The 27,509-nt window shown below is 41.8% G+C and overlaps 1 protein-coding gene across 6 annotated transcripts in view; it reads right to left on the minus strand.

The window, feature by feature from the left end:
* PID1 (phosphotyrosine interaction domain containing 1) overlaps nucleotides 1-23,021 on the minus strand; it is a 247,315-nt gene extending 224,294 nt beyond the window's left edge. For 3 of the 6 annotated variants that reach the window (NM_001330157.2, NM_001100818.2, NM_001330158.2), the window contains exon 1: nucleotides 22,748-23,021. In NM_001330157.2, the coding sequence (NP_001317086.1) occupies nucleotides 22,748-22,777 (30 nt within the window). In that variant the 5' untranslated portion in view covers nucleotides 22,778-23,021. Of the gene's footprint in view, nucleotides 1-14,416; nucleotides 14,628-17,459; nucleotides 22,377-22,747 lie in introns of those variants that run through there. The other 3 variants (NM_017933.5, XM_017004404.2, XM_047444845.1) reach the window with 3 other exon arrangements.
* Between the last annotated feature and the right edge of the window lie 4,488 nt (nucleotides 23,022-27,509).

The following is a 27,509-nucleotide window of genomic DNA, read 5'->3' on the forward strand; positions in this document are numbered from 1 at the left end:
TCTTTCATGGTACTGATATTTTTGAAGAGCCTGAGACAGTTGTTTTAGAGAATACATGCTCCTGGAACAGGAATATGATGCGAGTGAGCCTTCTCAGTGCGTTGTATCAGGAGGCAGACGATCATGGTTTGCCTCATTATGGGTGATGCTAACTTTGATTCTTTGTCTAAGTTAATTTCTTCCATTGGACTTTTCCAGTGGAAAGTTAGCATTTTCCTGTAGTCAACTGATAGTGTCTGGTGAGATACTTTGAGATTCTATAAATAACCTGTCCCACATAAAACATTCACACACTAGTTTTATAATCACTAATGATTCTTGCCTGGATTAAATATTATTATGATGATTGAAAATGGTGATTTTCTAACTCCATCATCCCTGCTTTATTTATTAGGTAACATTTTATTGTAAGGAAGAGCTTACCTTTCTTATCTATTTATTTGTTTGCTTATTCCTTTGTTTAAATCAGTTTATATTAGTATGAACTCATAGACTTATTTTTTTTTAAAGTGCTAAAATCCTCAAAAGCTGTTATTTATTTTGAGGTGTACTAAATTTGTCCAATGAAAGCCAAGGGGCCTTCTGTGTCATGTTGAAATAACTTTTTTTTTCTGAGCACTTCCTTGCTTTCTACAACAACAGATAATGTGTTTAGGAATCTTAGAGACCTCTGGCTTTCTTGATGATGCTCAAATGGAGCTCACTTTGTTTTACACAAGGAAAAGCAACCTAAAACTTTCTCCCCCATCTGAAAGCCCACCAGAAAACAGATGCAACTCTGAACAAGACAGATTCTATGTTTTATATTTTTAATTAATTGCCATTTATGAATAGCTCCAACTATTGCCATCTCTTGCATTCCTGAAATTAAATATAACAAAGGGAATGTCCCTAATAGTAAGTAGAAATAACTTGGGTACAAGCTATCTGCAATGTATAATATCTTTATTTAAATGTCAAGAAAATCCAGAACACATTTCAAAAAAGTTTAATATAAACACATAGAATTGTGCATTTTCCCCCATTAACATGTGGCTCTAAAGATAAATGTAAGAAAAATACCTCTCTCAACACAAAAGTAAAATTCTTCTCTTAGCATGCTCATTATGCCACTCTATCTCTTACCTTTCCATCCACAGAAATTAAGAGAGATGACAAAAAATAAATTATAAAATATCATTAGTTTATTGAAGCATGACATAAATATATTCACTGAGCTTGTATGGTGTTGCCGGCCTTGTATTCCAAGTATTATTCCATGTGCAATGGGGCACACAAAGATGAACAAAGACCCAGCCCTCAGCTTCTAGGCTTTTGGAAGATAGAAGTCCACACATAATTCCAATAAAAAGAAAAACAAGAATGAGCTGAATGGTATAACTGAAGCAGAAGAACAAACTGTGGACACCCAGAAGAAAGGGATGACTCATTGCAACTGGATACCAGGAAAGACTTTGGCAGAAGAGGGGCAACTTCAACTGCTATGACAGGAGTATGATCCCCCAGGCAGGGCAGGTGGCTGACAGGAGTATGATCCCCTGGGCAGGGCAGGCGGCTGACAGGAGTATGATCCCCCAGGCAGAGCAGGCGGCTGACAGAAAAGGATATTTCAAAGTTACGAAACAACATTAGCAAAAGCATCAAACATCAAAACACACAACTGTGGAAGATGGTCTGGAATGTATGGAAGGATGTAGAGAGAGATGAAGAAGATGGTTTAAGAGCTTGAACCAAAGCATCAAAGCAACTCCTTAGCATCCGATAAAGGCACTTTTTTATAAACACTAACTACAGAAAGTGAAGGGAAATTGTTTCACCTAATCACTGATATTTGAGTTAATTTGGCTTTGTTCCCTACAATCTGCTCACATCCAATGTGAAAAAGACTGCAGAAAAATGAAATAAAAGGAAAAGAAGGTATAAACCAAATGATATTTTCCCAAATAGAAAATTATCCAAACAGCATCTGTCCAAACAAACATAAAAATTCCCAACTTCTGAGTACTCAGATGCAATTTTTTTAATCACAAAAAAGAGTCTTTCTTTCTTAGGACTCTTGGCAGTTTTCAACACATGCCATTGGACAAAATGCTTTTATTTAAAGATGGGCTAGAAAACCATCTGATACCATATCAGACCCAGTATCAACTGACTGTTCAAATCAGAGGACTGTGTTGCTTTCAGCATTATTGCACCAAACCACAGGAAAAAAGCACAAAGGTTCTACGGCAAATAAAAAAGTTCACAGCATCTGGGGATATCGCATCTTCCACATCTGCCATTATTTTAAACTCAGCACCTGTGGTAGAGGTGGCTGGTATGATGCTGCCAATTTTCTCGTTTTCCTTATTGACAGAACTCCGATTTGGTTGGGGGCAAAAAAGTGCCCAGTTAAAATATTTTCTTTCCCAAGCAAATATTTGGGCACATGTCACAGTTCTCATCCCTGAGGTGTTAGTATCCTTCTGGGTAGGACTCGAGGGGAAGCTTTTGTTTACCTAATAAAAACCCAATGATGATGAAGACCCTCATCTTTGCCCTTTACAGCGTCTTAGGATGGAAGTTTCCCCTGTAGTAACATGGATCTACCCGGCATTTAACTGATTGAAACCTTCTTGAGCACAGGGACCTCTTCTTTATACCCACCTTAAAACTCAGTTTGGCTCCTCACTCAAAAACAAAAGATCAGTCAACATTTGCTGAAAGTAAAGACTATGGGAAATTAACACGAGGAGAAGCACTGTGACAAATCCAAATCACAGTCAGTGCACTTTTACCCTACAGTAATCTCCATCAATCAATTCAAGAGTGCCCAAATCTTTCAAGTATCACCATCCTTTTTACATCCAAAATGTTGCCGACCCACACATAGTACTTTGATGCTCAAGGACTGAAAATGCACTTAAAGTCCAAAAGCCACTGTGAATCAATAATGATTTCAAATAAGTATTTCTTTTAATAAAGCACACAAGATTTGAAAAGTAATTGAAATATTTGCAAGGTACTGTATTTTTTTTTTTTTCAGTGTATAGGAAATGTAGAATGCACAGAAAGTTAACAGTGGCCTGGAAGTAATTCCATGGCCCTCTTGAGTTCCAAGATCCGTTGGTCAAGAATTACTAATCAATACTAAAAGCACTGTATCTGAGTCTATTCCACTGTCAGTATACCACCCAGAACTCCCCAAGATGTGAGTTTTAACATAGCCATGACTTTGCCTTTCATTTTGGCCAAACTTGGTTTCCAATTTCTAAAGCAGGCTTCTGCTCATATTTATAATGTGAAAATTTTCTTAAATGTTAACACTTATGAAATCGTTATGCTACATAAAAATTCCCCTGAGTGTGAGATACACGAAGAAATGCAAGAGATGAAAAATAATTTGCTCTATCACACATTTTCATATTTACCATTAGGCATTAAAAGCTTCAAATCAAAATTAAATTTCCTATGTAAAATTAAAAAGACAAATAGCATCAGTTCCTTAAATTAGCAGAAGCAGGCATCTGCTAAAGTTCTGAGGTAGACATTCAGTGCATTTTACAAGAAATCAACAATATGTCCATTTCTTCCAGTCCTTGGATCGAAATAAGTCCATTCGTTCTCTTCATCTATAACCCAATAAATAAGTTTTGATGGCCATCTAATGCAAAGATAATGCCCTCTTAACCATAAGCTAAAAAAAAAAAAAAAAAAAGAAAAGCTTAAAAAAAAGAAAGAAAAAAAAACACACAAAGAATGCAATGGCTTTGAAGCAACAGCCAAATTTGTTTTTGTCCAATTCATTTGTGTCTTCCAGCCCACCAAGAGCTTACAGCCACTGAAAAAGGAAGATGGAAGAAAGGAGAGGTGGTGATGGCCCCTTGGGAAAGCCATAAAAAAGTGTCTAAAAGGCTCAGCAGTTAGCAAGAGAGTTCAAAGAAATCAGGAATGGAAAGAACTTCACTCCCATTAATTATAGGGAAAGGAGGAAGAGAGAAGCAAGAAAGGAAGAAAGTTGTTTTTGTTTTTGTGTTTTTAATTTGGGGGCAGAAAACACAGATGTGGTCACAAATAACAGAGCAATTCCACCTTACTTGCAAAGTTGGGATCCCTGTAAATGCAAATTAATTTTGATTTCCAAAAGACTCCCTCTAAGTTTCATCAACTGCTTGCCTACTCCTAGGACGTGCCAGCACACATCCTTTCCAGTGCAGAGCAAATACATATCTCATGGGCCAGCTCCTGTTCAGCAAGGGCATTGAATTACATTATGAAGAAAAATGCCAATTGTCTGGGTCAAGGAGTAAAGAGATCAGCATTGAGCTTGAGCTATTTACCATTAACAGAGTAGAGAGGAGACATAAATTAGTAGGTTTTTTAAACTCTGTATTCTTCTTTCCCTAGCCTGCCTTACTTCCAGAAAACCCCTGAGCTGTATCACTCAGTCTGTCAACTTCCTAAAACAGATATTGGCTGTACTCTATACCTGAATATTTTAATATAATTTCTCCAAGAAGATTCCCACAAGGGGAATACTAATTTGAATTTCTTTGGTTGCACAACACTTCCCCAAATTTGCACTTTTGCAAAGCCATTCATTTCCTACAAAGCATCAAGTTCCTAGAGAAAAGACAAGGAGGTGGGTGGGGAAGGGGGTAGGGGGTGCCAAGCTAACTAATGCCAGATGAACTTTCCTGGATCCAGAGGGCTTTGTTTTGAAGATTTCTGCCTTGTGTTAAATCAAAGTAGCAAAGCAGGTCTTGAAAACTGGGGAACTATATTCTCTACCCAGAAGGTCAGGACTGCCAAAGTTGGAGGTATTTAACTTTCTGGGCTAAAGAATCCACATTGTCCTAGAGTGAACTTACAGAGCCATTCACATTTTTAACCAACAACTACAAATGTTTCTTAAGAAATGAAGCTCAGACAGACTAAGGCCATGTCTTCTTTGACTATTTTGGCCAAAGCAGCTATTTGCATCCCTGACACTATTTCCACTCTAGGCTCAGAGATAAGAGGGATTTGTTTCATAATGTGTACCAAAATTACTTTATTTGTTTTGGATGCAGTAAAAGCATCATTACTTAAAATGACACTCTGCTTTTTCAGTGCAGCAATTTGGCAGGAAGGTGAGAGTGACATCCAAGTTATAAAAATCTTAAGATTTATAGGAGATGCCAATAGCAGGACTACACCCTTATAAACAACAAGGACCAAAAAACCTTTCTCCAAAGATGGGCCAGAACCTGGAAGCTGTGGGCCAGTACTACGGTAAAATGAGGATTATCTTCATTCAAAGTCACTTAATAAAGTAAGGGTATGTGCTTAAAAGAAATTCCAAGCAAAAAAAAAAAAAAAAAAATTGCACCCTTTCTCCATCTCCCAGTTAAGCATGCACAGTTTTTACACGGAAGGGTACCCATATACAAGGACACTGTGCGTCCATAGGTTTCTGGTATTTTACAGAGCTTTCAAGCATGGCTCCTTCACTTTTCCCCAGACATATGCTCTGCCCCACATATCACCTTTTGTGAAACAGAATTTGAAGACTGAACATCAATTGGTTCAAGGGAAATGTTACCTGTATATCATTCAGTTCTATGGTTGCAAGCAACAGACACCAACTCTGGCTGACTTAAGCAGAAAGAAAAAATATTGGAGTAACACTGAATTGAAAGGAGAGGGAGAGGATACAGCTCAGAAAGGAGAGGGATAGAGCCACTACCAGGGTCTGGGCAGCAGGACGACAGACCTTCTTCGGAAATGGTTGCCAGCATTGTCAGCTATGACTACTTTGTCTTTTTGTCACCCTGCTGAGGATTCCAACTCCCGGGAGAAAGTGTCTAATCAATCTAGTTTGGGTCACACATAGTCCCCGTGGCTAAAGAATGGCACATTCATTACGAACAACAACAACAAAAAAACCTCCAAAATTGAATGGAGTCTCCCTACTGAAGAGGGATAGAATAGTTCCCCAAAGCAAAATCAGGGTATTGTTACCAGAAGATGGGAAATGAAGCTGAACAAAAAAACAAAAACAAAAACAAAACACAGATGTCCACTTCTGCTTCTACATAAACAGTCTTAGCATTCCTATTGAACTGTTTATTTTTTCAACTTCTAGGGACAACTTTGGCAAAAACTACAACTAATGCTATTACCCAAGTCTGCGTTACAATGTCCCATATAAAGAACCACATGATAAATTCCAGGGCCTTCAAGTTAGAAAAACGTCAGGGCTCCAGATGAGCCAATATACATTCTTCTATTAGGCCATGAAGGTTAAGTAACTAATCATGTTTCTCTTTTTCCTCGGGCTGCTAGGAAGCTCAGACCTAAAAGTTTTAGGCCGAGTTATGACCTTGGTTATAATTCTAGTCTAGGTTTTCAGGCACAACTAAATTCCTCCTTTCATTATATGACTGGTGTTCAAGGGGTTTTATGTTTAAATGGTATGTTTTAATGTTTAAATGATATGTTTCTCTTTTATTGACAAGTACTTCAAAAGCATGTGAATTGTTTTCCCTTACTAACCAAAAGCCAACCTTTTCAGAACTATATAGGGGTCTAATGTATATTTGTATTTTCTGAGTTTGTAGTTTGGCCAGGACTTTTATATTCTGTGGGCAGCACCATCCCTTTCATTTTCTGCTACTGCAGAAATAATAAGCTTCTGCAGCAGAAACTATTTCAGATGAATTTCTGGGTTTAAAAGGTGCTACAGGAAAAACAGATTCGAGGAGAGAGAGTATGCACACTAAATCTCAATGTGATTAGAGTGTGCAATATTTTTTCAAATAGTTATCAATAGAGTTCACTTTTTACGGGAAGGGGGTCAAATGGAGAGCAATAGACAACTGTCTCAAGTCTATAATAGCCTCATCCAACTCAGATGGATGATGGATATCTCAGGGACTGGAATGCACACAGCATCCGTGCTTTCATGAATCAAGTAGATGGGTTGAGGGTGGGAGATCTAATTCATTGTTCTATAGCTCAAGCCACTGTGTGAGTCGATTCCAAGTATGTTTATGCTAAAAATCATCAGAATCCTGTAACTGCAGGAAATGGGTAGCGTTAAGCAGATGGGTTCCACACTCAGCAAAGTAAATGAAAGCAGCAGTAAGTTTGCTCCCAAGATGACCAGTAAAATGTCTGCAAAGTGCTTTTGAGTGTTTTTTGGTGGGAACGGAGATTCTCTAAATAGAGAGGTATTACCACCATTATGGATGTTTTTCAGTTTGGGTTTTCTGAAATGGCATTTGAATGGGTCTTCCATTGGCTGATAATCTGTGAGGAATATGTTGAAATCCATTAAATTAAAAAATTATTCTCCACCCTCTACATGTCCTCCATTTTTGGAAGTAATCTCTTCCAATGTTTGGCAGTAAAATTCCCCAAAATAATCCAATATCATAACAATGAGAAGTTTTAGTTGCCTGGCGTGGGATATGTAGGAAACAGGGATCTGCATTTAGTTAAAAGTAGAAGAAGCCTCCCACTTGTGCCTGGAACCCCTCCCAGATGCTCTGGATTAGAAAATAGGATAAGCCCCAACACTTCTAGTTTCTATGCCTTGGTTTACCCAGGAGACAAGCAATGACCATGGCTCCCCACTCCAATCATGAAAACTCCATCGCACAGCTCTCAAAATAGAGGGGACAGAAGTTGGCCTCCATGCACCTGCAGGTGGGCTGCGAGAGCTGTACTTGGAGAGCAATGAATGGTGCTAAACAAGTAAAATCAGTTACCACCTTGGCCTTTAAGAGTCAGAAGACCAAGGACCTGGTTCTGTTTCCAACACAAGGTGAACTTGAGAGGCAGCTTTTACATTGGCCAAATGAAGGAGCTGAACTACATTGGTGTCCCCAATTCAAGTATCCACAGGGCTCAGCAAGCTGGGTGACTCAGTGAGATGCACCAAGGAAAGCTCAGAACCAGCTGGAGGCCACATTCCATCCAGATGGAACAGCAGCTGCTCAGTGGTCGCTATTTGAAAATTCAAGCCCTCCGTGATCTGACGTTTTTCAAAAGAATTAAGAAGTCCAGATTTTCTTATAAATTCCTCTAATTTTCGAACCCTGGAAATGAATTTGTAAAGATTTTATATATTGAAGGAGCCGAAGGAAATATTTCTGCAAGCTAAAGCCAAACCTCAGGCCCACAGTTTGTCAACCTAAAGGAGTTCAAGTATTGAAGCACCCTGGACAATGGAATGCTTCTTTACAAAGGAGCTAAAGCTGTCTTCTTCCTTCACTTGGAAACTCCCAGGGCACTGGCATCTTAAATGCTACAAGAAGTCTTGCACTAAGTAATCAGCCTGACTTTGTTTCATCTAAGGCTTCCCCAAATTATTTAAAGACTGAAACTTCTGTGGCAAGACTTATGAGCAACACACTGAATTCATGGGACACACTTTGGGAAACAGCAAACCTCTATTATTCACATGGCTGTAAAGTTCTATGCTTTTATTCCTAGGGTACCCTTGGATCTGAAATAGGGGAAGATATTAGTATTTATCTGACTCCCAAAGATGTGCCGGATACTAAGCTACGCTCTTTGTAGTCCATATCTCAATTAACATTCACGGCAACCAGGAGCTAAGTGTTATAATATTATCCTTATTTTTAAGTTGAGAAAATACAAACACAAAATACATATCAGAGGCTCTGAAATAACTCCTAATAAGTGAAGCAGCCAAGATTTGTAACTATGGGTGCCTAATTTAAAAACCCATGGTCTTTCCACTGTTTAACAGTCTGAATGGGTTACAAGTGGTCTGACTTGTAATCTAAAGAAATATTCTCATTATCCCCATTTCCCCCAAACTGCTCACCCCTGTGGCTTTAGATCTGCTTTTATGATCCCTCAAAGTGTCCAAGCTCTTCCTCTAAAGGGCATTGTTTTTCCAACTGAGTCAGATAATCCACCAAAGCATTCAACACCTGAGCAGGGTGAGCATGTGATGTCTTGGCTCCAAGTAATAATGTATTAGTATCCAACCACTGCATTCCATATCTTATAGATAATTATGGTGGAGCATTCATGTGCCAGGGACAGTGCTAACTGCTCGTGTGACTTCCTCTAGCCTACCATTTCTCTCTCTTTCTTTGTGTGCACATCCTTTGCCCCTCCGACTCTCCTGTCCCCTCTTCCTGGCTTTCCTGTCCACGTGATGTCCCTCACTTCAATGTATTTCATTTCTTTCCTTCACCCTCAAAATAGAGTTAGAAGCAGAAGTACAGTAGTTTACTTGCTGTCTCAGGATAACCACACGTACAGGTTGACAGGGGATTCTCGGTTTATGCCTGCTGTTCCAGTTTAATTTACAATGCATTCATCACCTCGACAGAGCCCCAGACTGGACAATATGCCACATCGTTTCCTTACCTATTTATTGAACAAAGTCTTATATTCCTTACCCTTGACCTTAAAGGAGGTTGAGTTGAATGTCTCAAATTTTCCTCCTTGAGGGGCAAAATGTTTTTAAACTACTAGGTTAAAGTCATTTTGTGAATGTTTCTCATTAGCTTTTTACTGAGGGTCAGTTGCCACTAGTGAAGTTATTCCATCCTGTCTAGTTTTCAGTTGCCATATTCCTGAGAAAAACAATTGCCTCACAAGGAATCCAGACCCTACGTCTGCTACACACATTACTTTAATCCACAAACTAGAATCAAGACCCACTAATGGTTTTGCATGATGGATTTGCTCTTTGCTTTCTGTCACGGGAGGAAAAATAACAAGAAGGCAGCCCAGCCAGTCATAGGGGCCACATCCCAGAAATTTACCCTTTCAACAGCAATATCTCCTGAGTCTACTGGCCATGGAGGCTGGAGCCAGGCACTGTGATACAGGGCTGGAAAAGGTCTCAGAGGACTGAGCCAGATGGGAGAGTCAGCTGGAACACCAACATGCTAGAAACAGGAGAAAAATGCATGAACTAGGAGCATGAACGAGAAACAGGGCCATCCAGAATGAGGAAGAATCAACAAGGCAACGTGAACTTTCCACCCTTTGGTCTGGATTTGTTCTCTTGCTCAACCACTAGTTTGACTAAGATCCCTAGGCAAACTGAGATGGATGAAAAATGTCATTTCAAGAACTAAATGAAGAAATGTTTTAAAAGAAGAGAACGCCAAGAAAAATTATAGAGTTCATTATTTATATTCTGGGTTAGAATTTTTATTTCCAGTAAAAAGGAAATGAAAAATTCTCAGGAGTGAGAACAGAAACAGTGTATTGTTTAGTTCTCCCAACATCTAGCACTATGCCTGGCAAATAATGAGGATTTCACATACACATTTTTAACAGCTCTGTATAGATATAGTTGACAGATAATAAGCTGCACAATTTGATTTGTTTTCAATGTATGTATAAACCCATGAATCCATCACATAATCAAGATGTTGATCCTGGCTAACACGGTGAAACCCCGTCTCTACTAAAAATACAAAAAATTAGCCGGGCCTACGTAGTGGCGGGCGCCTGTAGTCCCAGCTACTCGGGAGGCTGAGGCAGGAGAACGGCGTGAACCCAGGAGGCGGAGCTTGCAGTGAGCTGAGATGGCGCCACTGCACTCCAGCCTGGGCGACAAAGCGAGACTCCGTCTCAAAAAAAAAAAAAAAAAAAAAAGATGTTGAACAAATCCGTCAACCCCAAAACTTACCCCAATCCCCTTTCAGGCCCCTCCCTCCAAGTCCATCCTCAGGTAACTACTGATCTGAATAAATCATTTTACCTTCCCACCAGTAGCGTATGAAAGTTCCTGTTTTTCCACATTCTCATCAACAGTTAGCAAGGTCGTAGTTTTTTTTTTTTTTTCAGTAGTTCTAATAACTGTGTAGTGATACCTCATTATGATTTTAATTCACATTTACCTAATGACTAATGACATTGAACATCTTTTCAGGCCAGGTATAGACCTTCTTAGTTCAAATCTTTTCCTGGTTTTTAAAAATTGGATTCTCTTTCTTATTATTCAGTTTTGACAGTTTATTTATCCTAGATCTAAATCCTTTAATATATACATGAGATGCAAGTATTTTCTCCCAGCCTGAATCTTACCTTTTCATTCTTTTATCCATATCTTTTAAAGGGCAGAAGTTTTTAATTTTGATAAAGTCCAATTTTTTCTTTGTTGATTGCATTTTTGTCATTGTTCTAAGGAATCTCTGCCCAACCCAGAGAAACTCTGGGATGTAATGAATATGTTCATCATCTTGATTGCAGTAATGTTTACACAGATACACACAAAGGCACAAAGATTTTCTGCTGTTTTTGTCCAGAAGTTTTATAACTTTAGGTTTTATATTTAGATTTATGACCCATTTTGAGTTAATTTTTGTAAATGGCATGATGAATGGATTGAAGTATCTGGGTTTGTTGATGTTTTCACTGTCATTTTGTATATGAATATCCAATTGTTCCAGCATCATTTGTTGAAAACACTATTATCCTTTCTTCAGTCGCTATGGTCTAGACTCATATGTTAGAATCCTAATGCCCAAGGTAATGGTATGAGGAGATGAAACCTTTGGGGAGGTCATAGGAGTGTAGCCTTCATGAATGGGATTAGTGCCCTTACAAAATAGGCCTAAGAGAGCTCATCCAGCCCTTACCTTATGTGAGGACACAGCGTGAAGGCACCATTTCTATGAATCAGAAACAGGCCTTCCCCAGACACTGAATCTGCTGGCATCTTTATCTTGGACTTACAGCTTTAAGAACCATGAGAAACTAATGTCTGTAGTTTCTAAGCTACTCAGTCTAAGGAATTTGTTACAGCAGCCCCCAAGCAGACTAAGACACTAGTGAACTATCTTCTCTGCACCTTTGTCAAAATAATATATATTTCTGATCAAAAAGCATAACTCTCAATAAAAGCCCTCATTGACAGCTGCTGAAATTTAAAACATGTATACTCTGACTCAGCCATATCAATTTTGGCAGTTCAGCCTAAAGAAATACAGGCACCAGTAGGTCAGGATAGACACAAAAATTTATAGCAGTATTATTTATAGGGAAAAAAAACAGAACATGAACACAACCTAAATACTCCCTCAAGAGGGAATGGGGGAATGAGTAAATAAATTATAGTCCAGCTTCACCACAAAATTCTACACAGGTGCTAAAAGGAATGAGTTGGGTCTACATATATTGACCAGAAAAGATACCCACAAAACACAGTAAAGTAGAATTTTTTAAAAAGTTGCATATATATATATATATGTATATATGTATATATATGTGCATGTGTGTGTGTGTATATATATACATATATATAATTGAAATTCATGAGAAAAATTAAACATGTGTTTACACATATGTATACACTTGCAAAAGCCTGGGGAAAGTATGTGGAAAAATAACCACTAGATAGAAGGAAACCATGGGTTTCCTTCATGGGTAGAATTGGGAATTGGAAAAGGCACAAAATTACTAACTTCTTTACATACTTCTAAACTGACTGATTTGCTACCCTAAGCAGACATTATTTTGTAATTTTTTACAATCAAGAAAGTAGTAGACATGACATGGAGCAGATGTAGAGAAAATTCTGATTGCCATTTTTTTTTTTTTTTTTTTTTTGGTGGCTGGTCAAGTAGGGATAAATATCTTGGTGACTGGTAGATACCCAAAAGAAAATTCCACACTATTATAGATTAAATTGTGTCCCTCTAAAATGTACATGTTGAAATCCTAACCCGTAGTACCTCGACATGTGACTTTATTTGGTCAGTAAGGTGGGCTCAACCACTAACCCAATATGACTGGTTTTCTTATAAACAGGGGAAATCTTGACATAGAGACACACACACAGGAAGAATATCACATGAATACTGGAGTGATGATGCCACAAGCTAAGGAATGCCAAAGGTTGCCAGTAAACTACCAGCAGCTAGGAGAAAGCCAGGAGCTGTGTCTCCCTCACAGCCCTCAGGACAAATTAACCCTGCCAGCATCTGATTTCAGACTTCCAGTCTCCAGAACTGCGGGACAACCCACAGTACCAGTACCACCCGGTTTGTGGTACTTTGCTATTGCAGCCCTAGGAACAAATACATTAAGCTACCAAGATTTTATGTCCAAAAGCAAAATAGCTACCACCAGGACCAGGCCCCATAGCCTCCAGCTCACTTACTAGGAAACAACCTCAGAAGACTTGGAAAGGAAACAGCAGTTGCCACTGCCCACATTACAGGTGGCTTGTACAGCAGGATTCCGCTCTCACCTGAGGAAAAGTAGGCCCATTCCTGACGTGAAACCATCAAAGCATGCAGTGGGTGAATCTGTGAATTTATTCTCAGACCCACAACTATAAAGCAACTCTGAGGAAAGGTTTGTCATGAAAGGATTAGGATGGATCTAACAATTATGCAGCTCCTTTCCCCTGGTAACTGTCCATTCCCCTCCTGCTCCCATGGACACAGGGGATATTCCTTCTAGAGAAGAGAATGAAAAGCAAAACAGCATTTTAAGACCAGAATGACTCTTCACTCTCAGAAAGAGACACTGACAGAGCAGTTCTGCAGTTGGACAGGCTCCCTGCCTTCGTCTCAGAGGGACTGGAAACATTTGTGCCTTCCTGGCTGTATCAAAAAAAGACAAGCTTGCCCAAGAAAATAAGTATTATGACATGGCTGACTTTTTTTTTTTTTGTCTTCAAAGTGAGTTCCAGAATAAGAACAGGCTCTTCACTAAAATAATTTATACAGTTATCAAGTAAAAAACAAAACAAAACACCAAACCAGGTACAAATAATCAACCTGACATACCATGAGGCTCACCTGGAGGTCAATTTAAATATACTTCTTTGTCAGCTTACAGGTTTTCCTAGTCAGGAAGAGGCAAATCACAGAGGCTGCTACCCAGAGAGCCTACAGGGACTCTGACAACCTAGTTTGTTTTGAGGATAAAATCCTTAATACTAGTCTTCCCTTGGTCTCAGCCTGTCTGGAAAAGTTTCACTGAGGTCCACCTCAAAGTAACTGTGTTTCACATTCCAGCCCATAAGTTTCATCTCCAAAGCGAACCATCTTCAGGCCTGAAGCTCATGTACCATATTTTCCAGAGGACCTTCCCTGAGCAACACAGCACATGTTACACTCAAGGTTTGCTGCCTTTTCCTAGGATGTTGTCCACCAGAAGGAAATAAAGGAGAAAGAAGCAATAGCTTAGTTGTTTGCTGTTTTCATTTTTTTTTTAATCCACAGTAGATAAACTCACACTCGGTATTAAAAAAAGGATTCCTTATAGACACATGCATTGTGTCGCAGTATGTGAAAGTTGGGGATACCTACATCACAGAAGTAGAGTGACCAAACATAGTCAAGAGGCTATATGGTTTCACTGGTGTAGTAGCTACCTAGGGCTGTTGTAACAAATAACCATAAACTGGGTAGCTTAAAACAACAGAAATTTAATCTCTCACCATTTCGGAGGCTGGAAGTCCAAAATGTAAAGGTTGGCAGGGCCACACACCATCCAAAAGCTCTGGAGAAGAACATGTCCTCGACTCTTCTAACATCAGGTGGTTGCCAGCAATCCTTGGCATTCCTTGGCTTATGATGCCATAACTCCGGTTTCTGCCTTGATCTTCACAATGGCCTTCTCTGTGCCGCTTCTGTGTCTGCAAATCTCTCCTTATAAGGACATTAGTCATTGGCTCTAGGGTTCACCCTAATTCAATATGACCTCATCTTAACTTGCTTACATCTGCACAAACCTTATTTCCAAATAAAGCTACATTCACAGGTACCAGGGGTTAAGACTTCAACACATCTTTTAGGGGAACACAATTCAACCTTCAACAATGAATAACATATGGAGGCTTGGGTTTGAATCTGAATTTTGGTCCCTTAGTAGCTGTGTTGGTTAGGAATGTCAAAGATACATGTAACAGAAGTCCCAATTCACATATGGGCATAAACAAATGAAAGGGGGTCACATTTTTCTCATATAACTTTTGTTAGGAGGTAGGTTCAGGTGCTGCTTACTGATCCAAGTCCTTCCATCTTATCATGCTAGCCTTCTTAGTGGACTGGTTTTAAGGCTTGTCATGTATTGCTGCAGAATCACAATATGGCTGCTGCAATGCTAGACATCACATCTATGCTCAGGACAGCAAGAAGACAGAAAAGGAGGAAAAGGCTATTTCCCCAAGAAGCTTTATTTGTTATTCATGAAGGTAAAGTATCTTTAGTAGATATCCTCTCATATCCCAATGGTTAAAAACTGGTCTCTGACAATCCTTGGACCAGTATGAGATTATTATCATGGCTGGGCTAGAACACCCACCCTCAGGCCAAGGTATGACCATCTGCTGCCTGAACAAGCTGGGGCTTCATCTGCAGAGAAAAAGGTGAGATGGAAGATGTGTAGTTAATGAACTCAAGCAAAAGTTATCTGTAGTCTCTGGAGAATTGTTACATCATCCAGAAAAATGAGACAACAAAATCTCTGTCCCTTAGAATTTTCTCAAGGATTAAATATGCTTTTCATATAAAACAAAATGTCTGCTCCATGACACAAGAGGCACAGTGCTTAGGAGTGCAGACCCTACAACCAGTCTGCTGGCTATGAACCCCAGCTCTACTGCCAAAGGCTGTTGGGAGGACAGGTCAGTGCTGGGAACACAGTAAATACTAAGAAAAAGGTGGCTGCTATTGTTATTATTACTGACACTACTACTAAATAAGCCTGCAATGAATGGTAGCTGACATTTCTTGATTTTCTCCATACTTGGAAATGAGTATGGCTGGAAAAGTAAAAATCACCAATAAAACCCAATTAAATGAGAGTCTGCTAGCAGCACTGCTGGAGTGGAAGGAAATGTTGCTTCTGGGACCCTGACCACAGCACCCCTTCTCTGTGCCCTGTTTGAGAATACTTGCCACGCTATATAACCTTCTAGCTGTGGATAGTTGGGAGCAAACATGCATTTGATGGCTTCTAGAACGGCTTCACTTATCTAAAATTTCTTTTGGAGGAGTGGACTCTCAACTCAGTAGTATACATGAAATTTCCCAATAGTCAACTTCAGCACGACTTCCCTTACTACATTTATAACATGAGAGAACTAACACTTCATCCTGACCTGGAGACCACCGCCTGGCAGAAACTAAAGGAGATATAAGAGGTATGTCAACTCAGACCATTTTCAGGATAGTCACACCCAGGCCTCTCTAAAACAGGGACCCAAGTGATCAAGGGCCACAAGGTATGTGGCCCCCAAGTCCCAGCCCAGCTCACCCATACCCTAACACCCACTATCATATATGAACCTCCATCATCTTCACCCCCAACTGTAAAGACAATTGCATTCTGTGCGTCGCACTTTCCTATACATTGAGAATAAAAGGAGCTTCCCCAAGTGAGGAGACAGAGACAAGTGGACAGTGAGCAGGTCATTAACATACTGGTTCTGGCTTATAAAGCTGAGCTAGCTAGGGATCTTCTTCATATGAACAGAAACACTGAAAGTTACAATCATACTAGGAAATATATATTAAGTCCAACTTTGAACAATAAGGAATAGGACCGTGAGTCCTCTAAGTTTACAACTATGCCCTTCTTCTCACCCTTCACCCACACCCAGCATAGTACTTGGGACGTAGTAGATGGACAAGAAAGATGGACAGAAGAGAAGACAGGAGCTTAGATCTAAACTCAACACTCCATTCCTACAGTGACCAACCATAACAACATTAAGAAGTGCTTCTGTTTATTGAGCACCTACTATACGCTACATACCAAAATCTCTGCAAAGCACATCTCTCTATTTTACAGATAGGGAAAGCAAAGCTCAGAGAAGTTACAAAACTGAAACATTGCTAGTAAGCGATTGTGTCAAAATTATTTATAAAGAGACAGATATGCTTTTTTTTCGTTATTTTTTTTTTACCCAAATGATTTCTTATTCAGGAAACAACCTGGCTAAGAAGGCCATTACTGGAGCCTCCCTTATCAAAGTAAGAACTCGGTTGAAACATAAGAGGGCAGAGGAATCCTGGGCCATCAGGCATGGGAAAGAAGACCTCAGCCAGATTATTGATCCACGTGGCATCAGCATTAAGTGGAAGAGCATGTCAAGATGCTGGAAGCATTGAAATATGCCAGTCACAAAACAAGTCTGTGTCTTTTCCCTGACACCTTCCTTTTGCAGTCTTTGGCCTCAAGGGTTGGACCTGGTGAATACACTGATGCTTTATCACTGATTAGCAGCTAAATAGGGATCACAACTTTTTTTTTAAGTGAACACAAAATGACAGTAGACTAATTCCACTAGACTTTAAGGAGGTCTTTGGACAAACGACTCAACTATTTCTTCTTGCTCTACTTATATAAAGCCTCTGTTTAAATTTGTGTCCACAGGGCTGAAAGAAGCACACTGCAGTCATTGAGTGTTCTGGACTAGTTTTATTTCCTGACCACTAACAAGTCCCTGAACTGCTGCTATTCACAGAATAAAATACCTTGTAGAAGGCAGCCTGATCTCCAGTACCCTTGAAGCTGTAAGGCTGATTCTCCCAGAGTCTCCTCCAAGGCTAATTTTCATGGTAGAATGGGGTCAGTGTGGAGGGGTATTGGTATGGGAGGGACCTAATCTGGAACATCAAACAAAATGCAAAAGTTGCCTAACACTCCAAGATAACTCAGTACAGTCAACACGAAACAGCCATTAGGCCATGGTTAAGCAAGGGGCACAGAGTTTGTTCCCAGGCTAGGATTTTGCAAATCGCTTGAAAGAGATTTGCTGACAAACTTGGAGAAAGACTCAATGATGTAAGATAGCATTTTATTCCTGAGGGAGACTAAGGCCCCGGATTAATGACAACTCCTAGTTTTCTTTATGAACAATAGGGCCCGATGTTTTGTGCTTACTCAACTACAATTGATGAAAACAACAACAAAATCTAGAATGGGTTTAGTGAGAAACCTGTGCCTCTGTAATAATAGCTGTTGCTTTTTTCTAAGCAACCGCTCTGAAAATCTCCAACCTCCTCCCTCCTTCTCCCCATTTTTTTTTTGTCTAAACTTGGAATGAATGTGTACACAATCCACCCTAATCACCGGCTTTCAAGGTCTCTAGTTTGGATAAATGCTATGTGCTTCAGCTGAAAAGCTCTTCAATGGCACTTGTGAATTTTAACTTCAATAGGAGACAGCAGCTTATGTGCCACCAAAGATTTGAGCCACCAAAAACAGAGTAGCCTTTGGTCAACCCACTGCTTCAGCAAGAAATAGGACAGCAGCCTCTCTGAGCCCACAAAACAGTCATTGCTCTAACTGTATTTATTAATAACAACAGCACCAACATGTACATTGCACTGTGCCTGTCTTATCCTTCTGCACTATGGTGAAGTGCTTAAGAAGTAAGGATTGGAACCAAACTGTCTGGTTCAAACTCCAGCTCAGTTCATTTCTAGCTGCTCAACGCTGGCCAAATCACTTCGACTCTCTGGCCTTCAGTTTCTCTCTAAAATGCGGATAAAAGTGGTTACAGGATGCAAATGAGCCAGATAGTTAAAATAAAGCTCCTCGGCACAGTGCCACACACAGTGCCTGCACCACAAAAGCAGGTTACTAGTATCTTCCCATTCTTAATCCTTGCTCCTTTTGTCAATTTGGTCAGCCTGGAAAAGTATCAGATTTGCCGGTTTTCACCCTGCCTGATGGGCCAGGGCTAATGGTCTCCAGTTGACGTTTTAGAGGGTTCTCCAGTCTCACTTCTCAGGGGAAAAGTGAAAGTGGCATCATCATAGAGAAGAAAAATCTAGAACGATCCACACTCCAAGTCAAGACAACATCTACCAGATAGGACAAGGCAGAGAAAGGGTGAGATAATCCTCAGAGGAGGACTTTGGCTCCTAAAATCCCCAAATAGTATTTAGCTGGAAACTTCAACCACTTCATCAACCAAAAGTTTCAGAAGAAACCAAAAGAAAGCTTTTTCAGGATCTGGGGTCCTCCCTACTCTTCACTGTGTTTCTCCCTCTTGTGGAAGTGCTAGTACACAGACATTGGCCACAACGAGGATGAAAAAGGAAGTAATGGATGGAACAGAAAAAATTGCCCAGGCTGCAAAACTCAAATCCAGCTTTGTGAATAAAAAGCTGTTTTTTCTGAATCTGCCATGGAGAAATGGTAATCTCAGTGAAGACAGCTAGATGATTATATTGGAACCTTTATAGAATGCCTCATGAGAAGATGGTTACATGTAAACTTCACAATTAGAATCTGCTAGAACTCATACGCCTATCACATTCCACTCTATCCTAGTAATAACTACACCAAAGACCTTTAAGGATGTGTTGACCTCCTTCGTTTCTAAGTCAGTCTTGATTCATCTTTCTCCTCCTATCAAGGCCTCCAGAAAATGCATCTGGTAGCTCAGTGAAGACATTTGCTCTGAGAAAATACTTGTTCCTATGGATGGGACACAGTCTTGCATGGATGGGTTTGTTACTTCTGAGGGATCCACCCAGTACAATCATCAAGTCAATCCAGAAACTCATACAAATTTTAAAATTTCAAGGCCAGAGGTAATCTCATCTCTATTTCATAAAAACCAGTAGGGTTTTTATTTGTTCAGAAAAGTCTCCTTTACTTTTCTGAAAGGAGTCTGTTTCAAATCTGCTTCTTTAAAAATGTATAACACTCCTCAATACCTCCAAGAAAAAAAAAAAGTCTGCTGTGCAGACGGGAAGGTGAAAAGAGAAGAATTCATATTTATTCACTGTAAAAAGTTGGGGTGGTAAATTAAATCTTCACATCCCTTTTGATCCTATTATATTTTTAATGGCAGAAGCTCCCAGCGAGGGCTCGAGTGGGATGCAATAGAAGTTTTAACATTCAAGGGAGCAGATGAACTTGCCTCGGTTTGTGTGACTGAATGAGAAATTACCCAGCGCAGCTCTGCTCAGGGCAATAGGTCCCTTTGCCTGTGCTGGATTTGGGTCAAACAGCTAAACCTCAAATCAGAAAATATCAGCATCATTTTGTGGGGACACAGAAGTGTGGGTAACAATAATGATAATCAAACCTGATCAAAGATGCCATTTCCTGAGCAACGGAGCCAGTTGCTACACTCAAAAGTCCATTATTTAGAGGGTGACTGTTCTACGCAAAGATCTATCACACTCCCCTGGGACACAGACTTCTCAAACCAGCTTCATCGAATATGAACTATATCATCAAGAAAGGGTCTGGTTATTTTCTTCCATCCCCTCTTTTGATTCTAGGTATTGATAAAATAAATTGACTCCTTAGTCCTATTAGGAAGTTCTGGGAATGTTTCCTTGACGAATTTTCTTCACTCTGGCTCATCTAAATTAGAATGTTTGTATTAAAGATAAATGAGAAAAAAATTAATGAGGTCGAATGAGAAGGTTTATAAAGATTTGTGAAAGGCACATGGAGCTCAGACATCATTAAAGAGCAGAACTCATTCTCAAGTTTCCTATCCAGCATGATATCCACTGCTATCTCTGTGGCCACAGAGCCTGGGAGTGGCAAAGTGGCTTCTCACTGAGGAATCGGACAGGCATGTTTCTATATCACGGTGAAAGGAAAAGAAAAGGAAAAAACCCCAGACAGCAAACAGAGATTGTGACAAAGATAACCACAAGGAATGTAAATAAAATATGATAAGCAGCTCACTCACCATCTCATCCTCAACAGCTCTCTCAGAGGCAAAAGTAAAAACATATAAATTATGTGTTTTCAAGGAGAGTCAAGCAATACTCTTTGGGAAGAAGCCACGGATATAAAAAAATTTTTCCGCATTTGTCTCACTTCTCTAATCTCAAGGCTTGAGATGTATGTACTTTCAAAAGAGACTCATCGAAATTTGGGCAGCATGAAGTTGAGCCCCCTGTTGGTAAGGACCTTCCAACAGTGACTCGGTCTTATTGGTGATAAGCCCTGTTTATATGAGCTTTCAAAAGCCTAAAAACAGGTTCTTTCAACATGACACCTTGAAATAAAATAAACGCATTGCAAACACCAACTGCAATAAACCAGGCTCACGCCAAAATGCACACGTGCACATTTCACAAAATAAGGGGGAGACATTTCTAGTGAGGAGCAATCTCTATGGGAAGGCAAGCGAGAGCGCCCACCTGCCAAGGGTCACATGCTCCAGAGCGCACAGGATTCCCTAAGTGAAACAGGCCGGTAGGAAGAACTTGAATAGTCAAAAATCTACAAACTCTTCAGAGGTACAGATCATCAGGCCATAAAAGCCACCTCAAGGAATTTTGGTCACATCTCTCTAAGGACTTCCAAAAGCTACCCTCTGCACTTGAACAGGAAACCTGCCAGCTCCCCTCAATCATTCTGCTCCTTTGGAATAGAAGTTACGCCTTTAACCGAAGGAGAACTTCAAATGCGCCACTGGTATCTGGTGCCACTGCCAAAATATATTTACATCACCTTCTATCAGTCATTCAGAGCCCAGTGCTGATATTCTCTTAGTAAGACAAGGAGGGGGTTAGGAGGTTGGTCATCCACCTCCTCATCTGCAAGGCTAAATGCAGGTTTTCTTGTTTATTCTACTTGAGACCCTGGGGAACTGGTCTGGTGTCTCAGGCTCTGATAAATTGAACACACTCCCCGCAAATCATGGCCCAGGGAGCTTTGGAAAGGAGCTGTGGGGCATCTGTTTCTGCTAAATGCAATGCCCTCTGCGGGTTGTTCCTCTGTATGAGGACTCCTAGACAAAGGTTAGCCTCTCCCTGCATCTGAGAAACTGTGCTTGGGGCTGTAAATGTTCATTGAGAAGCCTCCAACCTAGCCAGGGCCTGGCCTCATTGTCCTAAGTCTTCAGATGCACTCAGCCTCCAATGGTGCTGTATTTTACCAGTTAAACACGTCTTCAAAGTTTACTACGAAACAATGTGGCTCCTAGCTTGCCAAAAGTTTAACTGCAGGATTCAGTGGATTTTATCTGGCAGAGTAGCTGCCGTGACTCTTGACAATATTTGCCAGCAAAAGGCAGTCCTCAAACCTTGCAACCAGGGCAATCCCAAGGCCCAACGTGTCACTGAAGGAGTTCTTCTGGGAAAGGTCCCTCTTTCTCTTCAATCGCCTCCCGCAAATCCCCAGCTTCCAGAATCCAATTCAAGGCAGTCTGGCATTTCAGGAGACAGCAGTAAAAAACTTTTGATGGGATAACCCAGGACATAAATATTCCTGGCTGAACCTACTTTTGATTCTTAAATATCTGAAGGAGCTTGGGTTTAAGGAAGATAAAGGGAGAGAACCAATGAATAGGGAAAAATAAAATAAGTAGCATACCATGACCAAGCCAAACCAAGCTTGATATTTCCACATTATATTGGCAAATGGATGCTTTCACATATCACTTGTTCTGTCTTTCCTGGTGACCACAAAAAAAAAAAAAAAAAAAAAAAAATCTGGCTTCAAAAATCCTAACCCCAGACCACTGCATTGTGTCAGTGGAATGCAATCTAAATTGCCAGTCAGAAAGTCCAACCTTATATGTACCAACCAACACGCACACAAGCACCTCCAAGCCAAAAGTTGTAACGCCTGAACCCGTGCGTTTATCAATTTCATCATCCCCATACCCCTGCCGGGTTCCTGGCGCTGGGTAAACCGACAGCATCATGTTGCCATCGATGCGTCTTACAAGATGGTTTTGGGCAAATCCCCTAAAGTAGGCAGAAGCAAAAACTAGGTTCCTCTGCCCGGGCACCTCCTCCTCCAGGCTGGCCCCCGGCTCCCGGGTGCCCCTTACCTGCAGGCGCTCCGTGGCCGGCTGCCACATCTTCCAGCCCTGGGTTTTGGCAGAGGAGACGCTGGCGAGACTGTCGATCGCGCCGGGGGGCGAGGGGCTGGGGTCCCGCTTTACATCTGGGGTCGGTGTCCGCGGGATGTGCGTCCTGGCGCTGGCCACCGCCGCCGGGTGGGCGTAGGGGGCTGCGAGCAGGAGGAGGCGCGGCGCTCAGCTGCCGGCAACTTGTGGGCACGGCCGCGCGCCGGCTGTCCTGGCGCAGCTGCGAGAGGACTGCGCAGCTCCGCCCGGGCCCGGCGAGCGCGCGGCGGCGGCGGGGGCGGCCGCTCCCTCCTCCCCCGCCGCCGCCGCCCGGACCTGCGCGCTCTGAGCATGCCCGGGGCGGGCGCCCAGGGGCCGCGCGGGGCGGGAGTGCAGCGCGGCCGACTCTAAATCCTAGTGAGGGGTGAATGGGGAGGCTAGAACAGCCGGCCCTTCCCTGCAGGAAGCCCCCATTGGGTTGGGGTCTGGGAAAAGGGACAGACTGGCTGAGGGGGGAAGGGCCTGGAGCCGGGGGTGGTGGGGGCAGCGGGGATGTCGGGGGTGGCGGGGGTGGGGGAAATTCCTAAAATAAGGAAACCGTAGCCCCGGGGGTCCCGGGTTTCCATATAACAGGCATCTCTGAAGTGCCTGTGCTGTGCCTGGCGCTGTGCTAGGGAGACACTTCCATTCATTCTTCCCACTCCAGTTAACTGAGCATCTATTAGGCTCCAGCCCCTATGCTGGGTTCTGAGGATGCAGCGACGCAGAATAGAAGACAAGAGAATGTTCCTTCTCTCTGGAGCTTACCTTCTGCTTTGGAGAGAGAGTCGTGACTGAGCAAACACATCAACAAGCCGGTGCTATATCGGGTGGTGATAAAACAGGGCAGATGTGGGAAGAAGGGGAGAGGAGAGCTTCTTAGACAAGGGCCCTGGGGAATGCCTGGAGTAAGACCTGAGAGATGAGAGGGATTGGCCACGAAGAGGCCATGCTTCATGATGGGGAGAGGACTCGACTCCTAACCTATACAGGGGTGAGGAGGGCCATGCAGACTCCCGAATCACTAACTCATCCTGAGATCTGCCAGGTGCAGCAGGAGGCTCTCAGAACCCAAGGGAAAGCCGCTCTGGGCTCGCAGGCCTGGAGGCTCCCCGGCTAGTGCCGGCCACCATGAGATGACTTCCTGTCCTAAACAGGCCAGCCCTTCCCATTCTCTTGACAACTCGGCAAAATAACTATTAATATTTTCACCATGTGGATCAAACAAATGAGGCTTATAAGGTTTAGGTCACTTGTCCAGGTCACACAGCCAGTGAGTGGCTTAGAGAGTGCACAGTCAGATGACTTCAGGGCAGGAGATGTGGCCCTGCGCCTCTAACTGACCATGGAAACCCAGTGGAAAGAGCATCCGTCTAGGGCTGGGGGTTAAAGGCACTTGGCAAGTCAGGGATACTAAGCTGATTCTCGAGCTGATGAAGAGTGGGAGAGGAGAACATGGTGGGAAGAACTCAGGACATAGAATGACCAAAGAGAGGAGCAGAGAGAACACAATGTTTGTGGGGAGCCCTAGGCTCCTACAAGGCAGGGTCCTGAGAGCAGAGGGGTGTGAAAGAGAGGCATTTCATACTGAGACAGCTGCACAGCTTGGGCCGTGAGCTACTCATGCAATGTCAAAATCCACACTCCATGTCTGGAAGGAGGATCTGTCCATTTTCCTTGTTCTGCATGACTACAATGATTTCCAGATATGGAACCACTCCAGAATCTAACCCTCAGCTCATCGGACCCTCGCAGCAACTCTCCGTGGGACAGAAGCCCCTATCTCCCAAGGCTTGGGGAGCACAGGGTTCACAGAGTCACACTGTGGGGAGTTACAATGGCGATTCAGATCCAGGATTCCAGGCAGATCCTTCTGGACCCTGCGGTTGCTATGTTGGTGCCACCAGCCTTGGCAAGCCCAGGACCCTCAGTGCCTCTAGGAGCCTCTGGCAAAGCCACAGAGCTGCCTCTGAAGAGCTTGTCTCTGTCTCCCTGGATATCCACAGGACCCTCCCACTCCTGCCTGATAACCACCTGAACCTTCTCAGCTCCTTCTCCAGTTCCTGCTACTTGTTCTGAACTTATTAATAAATCTCTTTTCATGAGGTGTTTGCCTGTCAGCCCGCACAGACATGTGCCTCACATGCTTGGTGATATGGTCTCTGTTTGCTTTTCCGGTAACTCCTCCTGCACACCTCCACACCTACAAAATTCCTTATGACCTTCCCAGCCCCCAGTTCTCTTTTATCAAATCCCAAAGTAGAAAGAAATGCAATTCATTACAAAAATCTAGAAAATCCAGACATGCATATAAACCCCACCCCCCAACCCCCCCAGGAAGCTAAAACAGGAATATTCAGTTGCCAGGGATGTCTTCAGACTTAAGCTCTGAAACCATCCTTGCTTGCAGATGCTTCCGTGGAAAAGTGATTTTGTTTTAAATAGCAGTGGAATGAGTTAACGGCCTAAATTCAAATCGCATTAGAGCGTTAAATCCTGTCTTCTCACCTCCAAACGTAATTAATTGTTATGACTCAGTAATACAGCTTTTAGTACGGAGTATGGTGCTATTTAAAGAGAAAAAGCTTTGGCTCTGTAAAGATTGCTTTCAGTTACCGTTCCCACTTTGCAAACAGATTTGGTAAAGTAAAGAATGTATTTAAACTCAAATGGCACTCCTGTTTCAATTACCTTTATGCCACGAATCAGGAAGCTAGGGGAGGGGGTGGAGGAGGGGCAATTGCAGGCTTGTGGGAGGTGACAAAAGGATGGGACAACCTCCCACTCATAGATTTTGCTCCCAAGTCTTCCCATTCAGGAGGAGCCTGCAATGAAGGGTGAATGAAATAGAGACATCTGCTGGCTAGAGATGAGACCTGCATGCCAATGTCTCCCAGCTCTGTTCTGTGACATTGGAACCTCATCCTTCCTGGTGAATCTGAAAATGCTGCCTTACGATGTAAACAGGTTTGTTCTGAGCAAGAAACCACCCTTAAAATGAGCAGAAGGTGTTTTGGTGCAATGAGTAGAAATATTAGGCATGTAAATGTGTGCCTAATTTCATGTACTTAGTCTCCTGCAATTACCGAAACAGGTCTAATCTTGTCAATAAATACCATTTGAAGGCAAATGACAGAAATCAAAAAAGCTTGACAAGGCACAGATGCGTTATTCACACATTTGGTTCAGAAAAATAATTACAGCATCCCTAGAAATTGTGTTAAGCCAGATTTGATCTAGTTCATGGTTCTGAGCCCTAGCATAAGCAACCTCAATGTCCAAGTCAGAGTAATGGTGAATGAAAGTATGGTCCAGCATATCAAAGAAATATTAAAATATTATGCAGCATTTAAAAGGATAATTATAAAGTTGTGTTGCAGCTGAAAATGATACAATTATGGTTTTTAAAGTAGGATAAAATGTATATAATTTGAATATATGTATAAAATATTTATCAATCTCAGTAAATGTTGGAAAGGAGCTAGGACAAGCAGAAGACTCAGGTTGAATCCCAGCCTTCGAACTGTCTACCTAGGTATCAGCTTTTCACAAGTCATTTGCCTTGCTGAACCTCAGATTTCTCTTCTATAAAATGGGTGATAATATTACTTAATACTTAGGATTTTGGGGAGGAGTGAATGAATTAATATGTGCAGCATGCCTGACACATGGTAGGTGTGTGGGAAACATTCGTTTTCATCCCCATTATGTTTCTTTCTCTTTTTATTATTGGAATGATCCAATTCTCACAAAGCGGCCCATGCTTCTTGTGGTTACACTATTTCCATTTGGAATATTTGTGGGTTTCAATTATTTGCTTTAGATTCTCAAATAAAAATGACAAAGGATATTCAAGCTCACTTACGATTCTTTTTTCTTTTTTGAGATGGGATCTCACGCTATCGCCCAGGCTGGAGTGCAGTGGCGCGATCTCGGCTCACTGCAACCTCAACCTCCCAGACTCAAAGCAATCCTTCCACCTCAGCCTCCTGAATAGCTGGGACTACAGGTTTGTGCCACCACACCCAGCTAATTAAAAAAAAAATTTATGGAGATAGAGTATTGCTGTGTTTCCCAGGCTCCCTGGGCTAAAGTAATTCACTTGCCTTGGCCTCCCAGAACGCTAGGATTACAGGCATGAGCCACCATACCTGGCCCACTTACAATTCTAACTTAAGCAGATGACAGCAAAATTTATTATGGTTGTGTATTTAGCAGAATTATCATTAAAAAGCCCTTGTTATGGTATCACTAACCTTATTTCAAAATCACCAAAACAGCTGTATATAAATGAGCAATATAAAAAAGTCTGAAAATTCATTCGACCATTTAAACCTCCCAGTAGTGACAGAACCACTGGCTTTCGTCCCTACAGAGTGATAGGAATGTATTGGGATGTTAAGATGACGCTTAACAGGGTAGGACTGGCTCATTCGTGTGTTGTGACTCTCCTACTCTTGACTCCTCATATCCTCACAAACCTTAGACACCTGATAGATTATTTTCAGAAATGCCCACAAAAATCTCCCCTCCCCAAGGAAGTCATGCCCATTTGCACTGTAACTTGCCTGCTTCTCTCATCATGAGATGCAATCTGTCCACATTCCTTGAATCTGTGCTGGACTTGTGGCATACTTGACCAATAAAATGCAGCAGATGTGACACTGTGGAACTTCTGAGCTTGGGCCACAAAACACTTTGCAGC

This window comes from Homo sapiens, chromosome 2 (genome assembly GCF_000001405.40).
Source record: "Homo sapiens chromosome 2, GRCh38.p14 Primary Assembly".
NCBI lineage: Eukaryota > Metazoa > Chordata > Mammalia > Primates > Hominidae > Homo > Homo sapiens.